This window comes from Homo sapiens, chromosome 16 (assembly GCF_000001405.40).
Source record: "Homo sapiens chromosome 16, GRCh38.p14 Primary Assembly".
Lineage (NCBI taxonomy): Eukaryota > Metazoa > Chordata > Mammalia > Primates > Hominidae > Homo > Homo sapiens.
The window spans coordinates 3273339-3283490 of NC_000016.10; the positions used below are offsets into that span (position 1 = coordinate 3273339).

At 45.8% G+C, this 10152-nt stretch overlaps 2 annotated features.

The window, feature by feature from the left end:
* Nucleotides 9126-9631: an enhancer, noted in NCBI's record as "NANOG-H3K27ac-H3K4me1 hESC enhancer chr16:3332464-3332969 (GRCh37/hg19 assembly coordinates)". NCBI's record gives its function as "activates a minimal SCP1, AML or CMV promoter by ChIP-STARR-seq in primed H9 embryonic stem cells {active_cell/tissue: H9 hESC(primed)}" and the evidence as "EXISTENCE:reporter gene assay evidence [ECO:0000049][PMID:30033119]".
* Nucleotides 9742-9931: an enhancer, noted in NCBI's record as "active region_10319". NCBI's record gives its function as "activates an Ori minimal core promoter by ATAC-STARR-seq in GM12878 lymphoblastoid cells {active_cell/tissue: GM12878}" and the evidence as "EXISTENCE:reporter gene assay evidence [ECO:0000049][PMID:35858748]".

Genomic DNA, 10152 nt, shown 5'->3' on the forward strand with positions numbered 1-10152 from the left:
AGGGAGAACATATCTCAAAAAAAAAAAAAAAATGCACAAGGCTTTTGCTTCAGTGATTCCATTTCTAAGACTATATCCAATGTACCCAAATATGCACGTCTGAGATGTTCATTGGAGTATTGGTTGTTAAAGGAAACAGCTGGAGACAATCTAAATGGGGAGACAGTCAGTACAGCTGTGGTATATCCATAGTATGCATGCTCTACAGTTGTTAAGAGTGGCAATGGCCTATTCATCTGGACCTAGATAGATGTCAAAGGCACACTGCTAATATTTAAAAAGAAGATCTGGAAAATATGTATAGCATGGTGTATACATATAATTAGCCCATATAGGTACATGAAGTTCCTCAGGAGACTGGGAGGATGCACAGCCAGGTAAACCTGTAGAGCATGGAGACATTAGGTGGGAGGTGATGGAAAAGTCCCTCAGTTTTTTTTTTTTTTGAGACAGTCTCGCTCTGTTGCCCAGGCTGGAGTGCAGTGGCATGATCTCAGCTCACTGCAACCTTCACTTCCTAGGTTCAAGCGATTCTCCTACCTCAACCTACCAAGTAGCTGGGATTACAGGCGCCCGCCACCACGCTCAGCTAATTTTGGTAGTTTTAGTAGAGATGGGGTTTCACCATGTTGGCCAGGCTGGTCTTGAACTCCTGACCTCAAGTGATCCTCCCCGCCTTGGCCTCCCGAAGTGCTGGGATTACAGGTGTGAACCACTGTGCCCAGACCTTCATTTTGTTTGTATACATCTGTATTCATTGAATCTTCTACAAGGTTTATTTATTCATGTATGCCTATTGTTCCGGTTATCTATTGTTGCATGAAAAACACCCCAAAACTTAATAGTGTAAAACAGCAGCCCCTTTATTATGCTCACAACTTGGTGGTCAGATTTCAAGCAAGACCCAGAGGCACAACTCATCTCGTTCCACAGTGGCTGGAGCTTCAGCTGAGGTGGCTCAAATGGCTGGAGAACACTTCCCTGCAGCAGAACCTACAACCATCTTCCTCCCCTTTCTGGAAAAGGTTTGTTTCTGAGGCTGGAGTCAGAGTCTTCAAACCAACAGCCAGAGATAACATTGCTAATTATGCCCCTTTCCTTGGTCTTTATTTGAAATGAAACGGTTCTGTTACCGGTAGAGGGTCTTGATGCAAATTGTCCAGGTTCTTGGCATTTTGAACAAAGAACTGGACAAAACGCACAGCAAAGCAAGGTAAGAATGAAGCAGCAAAAGCAGAGATTTATTGAAAGTACATGCCACAGTGTGGGAGCCGGCCAAGCAGCAGCTTAAACACCCCCTAGAGGTTTCCCATTGGCCACTTGGTGTTCACCCCATGTAAATGAACCAACCTCAGTCAGTCTGATTGGTTGCAACCAATCAGAGGCTGAAGTGAAGTTACAAAGTTACACTCCTGTGCAAACGTCTGATTGCAAAAAGCAGCCAGTCAGAGGTACCTTCAATTTCCCATCTGCCCCTCAGAAAAGGTGGGCATTGGCAAAGGGAGTAGCCTCTGGTCCTTTTGTTACTTATGCGTGGAAAGTTGGGGTTTTTCTTTCGATTTAGTTCTAGGAAGTCAAGGTGAACTGGCCTTCAGTTCCCTGCCTCCAGACCCTATTCTGCCTCAGTTCAAATACACAAAACCTAACAAATACCTATATGACCACCTTCCACAACTAATCAATGGCAGTGTCTATTAGTTTGACTTTGTTTCTATTTTACAAGAAGCAAAAGCACCTCTGGACTCTCCACTAGAGAGCTATGTGCAGCCACTCCAGCATGGTGCTCTCAGGGTAACCAGACTTCTTACACTAGCTCCAAGTGCAAGTTCTCCTAGCAAACAAGATAGAGGTTGCAAGGCCTTTTATGACCTCACCCTGGAGGTCACACCACATCTGTATTTCATTGTATTTCATTGGTAGCAGTCACAAGCTGCCCAGATACAAGGCAGAGGGACAGATGCCCCACTTCTTGATGGGATGAGTGGCAAAAAAAAATCTGTGACCATGTTTAAAACCCAGAAGATTTGGCTGTTAGAGATTTGTGAAGTTTTTAAAAGTTAAGAATTATTAAAACAAAAATAAAACCCAGGAGACAAGGTAGTGGAAGTGTGTCCCTCCCATTCACTGACCAAGGTGAGGGGACTCTAGTCCTTTGCTGCTGACCTTCAGCCTCCCTTCCTCTTAAAAAGAGGTCCTAGTTGGGGAGCGATGGCTGAAGAGTTACCATAAAATACCAAGTAGGAGCGAGGTGCGGTGGCTCACGTCTTTAATCCCAGCAGTTTGGGAGGACAAGGTGGGAGGATCGCATGAGCCCAGGAGTTCAAGACAAACCTGGGCAACATAGCAAGGCTCTGTCTCTACAAAAAAGGAAAAGAGTACAAAGTAGGGCCATTTAGTATGGTTTCATCTTTATTAAAAGTCTTAAGTTTTAGATTTTTGAAGTTATCACCAATAAAATATCCAGTTGTGGTCTTGTGTTGAGTGAAAATGTTATTTAAATGCAGATATTTAAAATATACTACAATTTTTGTGCTATTTTAATTTTCTAGGAGCCTTAAAAAATGTGTGGCTACTGAAACTGTGCCCCAAAGAGTTAAAGAAATCAGTAACTAACAGAAATTCTTGAGTCTGCAGGATGGCAGATAAGAAACAACTCGCTGGCCAGGTGCAGTGGCTCACACCTGTAATCCCAGCACTTTGAGGGATTGACCCACTGAAGTGGGTGGATTACATGAGGTCAGGAGTTCGAGGCCTGGCAGGTTGGTGGGCACCTGTAGTCCCAGCTGCTTGGGAGGCTGAGGCAGGAAAATCACTTGAACCCGGGAATCGGAAGTTGCAGTGAGCCGAGATCAGGCTATTGCACTCCAGCCTGGGCGTTGCAGCGAAACTCCTACTCAAAAAAAAAAAAAAAAAAAAAAAAAAAAAACAACTTGCTGAAATGCTGAAGAAATGCTGAAACTCCCTCCCTATAAGATAAAAGAAGAACAAGCAGAAATCTGTTGGAACCAATAACGCTGACTGGAGTCTGCACAGAATGAGCTTGCTGACATCACAGCCTGAATTTTCAACACAGGTTTCATGCTGTCCCTGAATTTGCATGAGACCCATTAAGTAGCTTGAAGAGGTAACTGCGAAAGCCCAAGGACTTTCCACATCTCCCCTTTCCTTCCACTAATAATCACCTACTAATCTCAGAATCCACCGCCTGAACCTTTTCTAATAAAAATAACTGCCTTAAAGCCAACACGGGGAGACAGCCTTGAGCTTGATATTCCTGTCTCCTTGTGAGTCGACTTGCAATACAAAGCTTTTCTTTTTTCAGAACCACAGTGTCATAGTATTAGCTTCTAGGGTATCAGGCTGGAATGCACTGGTGCGATTATGGCTCACTGTAGCCTCAATCTCCTGGACTCATGCAGTCCTCCCACCTCAGCCTCCCAAGCAGCTAGGACCACAGGCACTTGCCACCACGCCTGGCTAATTTTTGTTTTTTTTGTAGAAATGGGATCTCACTATGTTGTCCAGGCTGGTCCCGTGCTCTTGGGCTCAAGTGATCCTTCTGCCTATGCCTCCCGAAGTGCTAGGAAAAGCCTCCCAAACTGGAAAATATGGGATGGCTTCCCAGTTGTTAAAACACCCTGATTTGGGAGCTGATTGCTTATAAACACTAAGAAAAAGCTAAGAGCTGAGTTCGCCTTCCCATTCTGTTCTCAGGTTTCTCTCCTTATAGAGAGGTTCTGATCATCTACAAGCTTTGCTAAATCTGGGGTGTTTCTCTACTGATTTCCTAAATGTTTGTAGTCTTTTTTGTAAAATTGATGATTCAATTTTATTCTCCTCTGAAGTAACAATAGATGCAGAGTCTGACATTTCTTCAGCTTTGAAGAATCTGCATTTTCTCTCCTGATCTCAAAACCTGTAAGAAAAAGAAATTGCAGATATCACCCTGTCCAAGGAGAAAGAGGGGGGAAAATAAGAGTTGTATTAAAGTAGTAGAGAGAAAACAGAAACTGCTAAATAGAATCCCAAAGCCTTTTATTCCAAGTAAGGCTGAATTTTTCTTTTCTTTCTTCCCGTTTCTTTCCAGTGAACACTCACCTCTCCTGGAGTCAAGTCATTGTTTCTTTCCTTTGGAATCCTGCTATTCCTGCACCCATGGCTCTTCTCTAGGCTCCAGTGGGAAGTACAGGTCAGGGTTTGGGACTAGATATACTGGTCATAAGAAATACAGGGAACATGATAGTCTGGGTCACACTGATTTTTCCTGAGTTCAAGCCGATTTCCAGGACAGATGGCCTCTCCATATTTATTTCCTTCTCAATTAGGATTATTTCACCTGGAGCCTCTAACAGGCAGCTGGCTTTTTTTGAGACAGGGTCTTGCAGTGTCTCCCAGGCTGGACTGCAGTGGCACAATCTCAACTCACTGCAGTCTTGACCTCCCAGGCTCAAGGGATCCTCCCACCTTAGCCTCTGGAGTAGCTGGGACCACAGGCATGTGCTACCATGCCCTGATAATTAAAAAAAAAAACTCTGTAGAGAGAAGGGCTCTCTCTGTTGCCCAGGCTGGTCTTGAACTCCTGGCTCAAGCAATCCTCTTGCCTCGGCCTCCCAAAGTGCTAGGATTACAGGTGTGAGCCACTGTGCCCAGCATAACAGGCAGTTTTTCAACATTAGAACAAAATCTAGGAGTACGAAAGGCATACTGGAAAAATAATAAACAAACATTAGAACAAAAACAAAATAGGGGGAAGATCCTTTTGTGCTCAATTCAAAGCTATTCTCCTCCAATCTCTGGGAAGAGGAGTGAATTAATTCTGCTAGTCAATGCACTGATTTAGTTTTACCTCATTTTTTGAATATTTTGATAATAAAATTATCTAAGAACCAAAATATCAAGTTAATCTTCCTAAAATTCTGACTATATTAAAACTGAGAACTATTCTCTTATTGAATCCAAGAGAAGAGAGAGGTAAATGTGGTAGTTAAACTATGTCCTGGATTAATTTCAGTTAAGAGACTTTCAAATAAGAATTAGTATCTGAACTGGTTTGGTTGGCAACCAGCAAAAACAATCTTTACATGTTTGTTTTAGCTGAAGCCTAGAAGTAGATTGTCTTGATATTAACCAAAACAAATATCTAAGAGTGTTTCCATCAATCCAGACAATTAGTAAAATGGTCTCCAGTGTGGTCTCCCCTGTGTCCTGCCATGCCTCCCCTCACTGACAAAAGTTTGGGTTGCACCCTCTTTCCAAGTTCTTTCCTCTCCCTCCTCATCTTGACAGTTTACTGGTCTGAAAAAAAAAATAGGTTGGTAAATAGTGATCTAATATGCAAATAGAGGAATATGTCTAAATATTAACATTATCAAACAATATTAGTAAGACAGTTTGGTTAATGTTAGTCCAAAGGAAAATTTAAACTCCAGAACATTTAATCAAAATATAAGTGGCGTAAAATGTCTCATTTTATCTTTTCATGAGGAAAGGTAATATATTCCATATTAATAAAAATAAAATGCATTTCAAATGAAATGCCATTTAAATTTGCTATTTTGTTTATGATTGGATTTCAAAGCTAGGAGTAGGATCAAAGAGCATGTGGTACAGGTAAAAGAAAACCCTAAATCCAGCGCTTTGGGAGGCCGAGGCGGGTGGATCACCTGAGGTCAGGAGTTCAAGACCAGCCTGGCCGACATGGCAAAACTCCATCTCTACTAAAAATACAAAAATTAGCCAGGCATGGTGGCGTGTGCCTGTAATCCCAGCTACCCGGGAGGCTGAGGCAGGAGAATCGCTGGAACTTGGGCAGAGGCTGCAGTGAGCCTTGACTGCGCCACTGTACTCCAGCCTGGGCGACAGAGCAAGGCTCTGTCTCAGAAAAAAAGAAAACCCTAAGTCATAGATCAAAGGAATGCTGTAGTCAAGTAAACGAGGGGAGAGACCAAAGCTGGGGGGAGTGGCAAGTAGCAAAGGCTTAGAGTGGCAGAAGCTCCCGGAGGCTGAATGTACCCTAAGATGAAAGACAGGAAAAGCATCGATTTAAAATGACGGCTATGTTGCCCAGGCTGGTCTCAAAACTCCTGGGCTGAAGCAATCCTCCTGCCTCAGCATCCCTAATAGGTGGGGCTACAGTTGCATGTCACCACAACCAGTTAATTTTTAAAATTTTTTTTCTGTAGAGACGAGGTCTTGCCATGTTGCCCAGGCTGGTCTCAAAATCCTGGCCTCAAGTGATTCTTCCACCTCAGCCTCCCAAAGTGCTGGGATTACAGGCGTGAGCCACAGTACGTGGCCTAGTCTTGAAAGTCTTAACACTGTAGATTTCACCAAATGTCACTTTGAAAACCAGGCACAGATAACTGGCCCCTTGAGTACAAAGGAATCTGTAAGAGCTAGTTAGGGAATGAAAGAAGTCCCAGAGACAGAGTCTAGTACCCATGAGACCTAAAACCAGGAGTGGTAAGGGTTCTTTGTCGAAGATTCAAATTTATTTTTCTCTGCAACAGTCACGAAGTCACCTGCAGCTGAGGATGAGAAAACACAGTTAAGTCCTCACTTAACATCACTAATACGGTAAGTCCTCACTTAACATCATTGATAGGGTCTTGGAAACTGGGACTTAAAGGGAAAAGACATATAATGAAACTAATTTATTTTTGTCATCAACCTTATAACAAAATGTGCTTTCACTTAAGATAACAGTTTCCAACCTATCTAGGACATTGAGGACTTACAGTGTTAAGAAAGTAGAATCTGTACTGGTTTCAAAGGCGCTTACTTCTCTTCACTACTTACTTTTCACCAAAGCCCTAAAGTAGCAGTTCTTAGTCTTTTTGGCGGTTTTTAGAACTTGATGAAAGCTATGAACCCACTTACTAGAACATACAGATACACACACACACACACACACACACACACACACACACACACACACACATCCAATTTTGCATACAGTATCAAAAGGTTTACAAAAATCTCCAAACCCATCCATGGATCCTCTGGAACTGCATTGGCCAGTATGGTAATACTTGGCAAGACTAACTCCATTTTAAGTGCCCATTGGCTACCATCACAGAAAGTTCTATTGGATAGCACTGCTCCAGACATGGAGGCAGCTTAAGAACCCTGGCCCTGGCCGGGTGCAGTGGCTCACGCCTGTAATCCCAGCACTTTGGGAGGCCAAGGTGGGCGGATCACCTGAGGTCAGGAGTTCAAGAGCAGCCTGGCCAACATGGCAAAACTCTGTCTCTACTAAAAATACAAAAATTAGCCGGGTGTGGTGCGTGGTGCCTATAATCCCAGCTACTCGGGAGGCTGAGGCATGAGAATCGCTTGAACCTGGGAGGCGGAGGTTGCAGTGAGCTGAGATCCCACCACTGCACTCCAGCCGGGGCGATAGAGCGAGACTCCATCTCGAAAAAACAACAAAAAACCCCTACAAATCTGCTGGCCTGTTAACACCACTCCTAGTCTAATACCAGCTAGTCTGTTTTCCACATACTGGCAGATCACAAAGAATTGGAGGAGGACTACTACCACCACTGATTTTGAATAACCCTGAAAGTTCATCTTTTTTTAAAAAATTAAATTATTATTGCTATTTTTTGAGATGCAGTCTTGCTGTCGCCCAGGCTGGAGTGCAGTGGCACAATCTCAGTTCACTGCAACCTCTGCCTCCCAGGTTCAAGTGATTCTCCTGCCTTAGCCTCCCCAGTAGCTGGAAATACGGGCGTGCGCCACCATGCCCGGCTAATTTTTTTGTATTTTTAGTAGAGACGAGGTTTCACCGTGTTAACCAGGAGATGATCTCGATCTCCTGACCTCGTGATCCGCCTATCTTGGCTTCCCAAAGTGCTGGGATTACAGGCGTGAGCCAGCGCACCTAGCCTAAATTCATCTACTTTTAAGTACCTATAAATAGCATAAAATCAAAAGGACCTTAGATAGAAAATGATTAATCCCTCATTCTCCCTATCTCAAGGTATGTGTAGTTCTGCAAACATTCCCATGCCACAGATTCTGCAATAATAATCTGAGTGGCTTTTCTTTTTTGAGATAAGGCACACATTCAGGAACTTGCTGTGCATGCGTAACAGCTACTATTTATCGGATTCATACTATGTGCCAGGTACTGTTCTAAGCATCCTGTGTAGCTCCGCTCATTTCATCCTAACCCAGTGATATGAGGTGAGGTGCGTATAGTAGTCCCTCAAAACAAATGAGGAAACTGAAGTTTGGGGTTTAGTGAGATTACATAAGTTGCCTGAGATTACATAGTAAATGTCAGAGAAAAGTGGTTTTGAGGCTAGAGTCTTCTGCAATTGGTTATGAGTCTAGAATCTATGTCTCTTGAAATAGGAATGTCCAATGATCGTGCCATTGCACTTCAGCCTGGGCGACAGAGCAAGACCCTATCTCAAAAACAAAAGAACAGGAATGCCTAAAACCACCAGAATGGTCCTAGGGAGCAAACAAGGCTTTCCAAACTGGACCTTGAGTGCTATGGGGTCGCTGGCTCTGCATCTGCCACGACAGCCTGTGGATCTGTCATCTTCCCTGGAATAAAATTTTTAAAAAAGGCCAGGCGTGGTGGCTCACGCCTGTAATCCCAGCACAGTGGGAGGCTAAGGCGGGCAGATCACTCGAGGTGAGGAATTTGAGACCAGCCTGGCCAACATGGTGAAACCCCGTCTCTACTAAAAATACAAAAATTAGCCGGGCGTGGTGGTGGGCGCTTGTAATCCCGGCTACTCAGGAGGCTGAGGCAGGAGAATCGCTTGAACCCGGGAGGGGGAGGTTTCAGTGAGCCGAGACTGCGCCATTGCACTCCAGCCTGGGCAACAAGAGCGAAACTCCGTCTCGGAAAAAAAAAAAAAAGAAAAAAACTAAAATATCAGTACTCTTTTCACTTAGTCATCACAAACCCCTTTAATCCCATATTACCCTCTACTATCATGGTAGCCTCACCTTTGACGACAGACTAGCTGTGTGACCCAAGTAAATGACTTCAGTGCCACCACCTGTAGGAAGGGGCTGCTAATAGCATCTGCTTCATACTAACGTGTTTTCAGGATCGATCTGCATATAAACGCTCAATACACGGTAACTGATTGTCACATTCTATCCCAGGACGCTTCCATTTGCGGATCTCATGGCCCGGAGGACCTGGGCCGCCTCACAACTGGGCAGCCCCGCTCACCGACACAAAGCCCACAACCGCGCCCAATAGGGAATCGGCCCTGCGGCCCTCCTGCCACTCGCCCCCAACTATCACAGTCCACGGCGGAGCTGGAGGCAGATCCCGCCCTTGCAGGGCTGGGTAAGAGACTGAAACTTGGAGAATGAACTGCAGGCGCTGCACATCTCGGGCAGATTTAAAATTCGGTCTAAAATCGGAAGCAGGTGCCGCGAACCCAGACCCGAGCGCTCCTCTGGGACGTCCAGCCGCAGAAGCGAGCCCAAAGCCCAGCAGGGTTCTCCGCGGGACTCGGGGTTTCAGAACCGCCGGGCTCTTGGGCGCTCGCCCAGGGCGCACGCGCAGTCGCGAGGCCGCGCCGCGGACTGCATCTCCCAGCAGGCCCCGCGCAGCAGGCCACGCGGCGCCACTGACTGGGCGGGCGGCTAGCTCCCTGGCCTCCCCGACATGCCGAGGAGCCCCTGGCTTCCGGAGCCGACGAGGCCGCAGGGGCCAATGGGACCATCTTCAGCCAGCCCAGAGTAGCCGAAGCGGGTGGGGCCTGGCTTGGGAAAGGATTCATCCGGGGAAGCTGATTAACAATTCAGATTTCCGGGTCTCACCCCGACACTGACGCACTGGAGAGCGCGTGGCCCTGGGATCTGCGTTTTCCCAAGCGCTCCGGAGTAATTCTAACCCAGGTTGCCCGCCAGTCACAACGACCTCAGGCTTGTTTTCTTCGCTTGGATCCAGCTGCCCTGCCCCCAGTCACTCCCAGAATTTCAGGGCGCGCCCCGTGGCCCCGCCTCTCGTCTCCAATTGGTCCCTCGCTCATCCAGTCCCCGTAGGCCAATCTTCCCTTCTCATTGGTAGGCGGTGAGTGTGTGGAGAAACCTGACCTAATGGGCGCTGGAGTTCGCAAAACGTGACCCGGAAATTGGTCACGAGCAGGCGCCGTGGGCTTGTGGACGCCT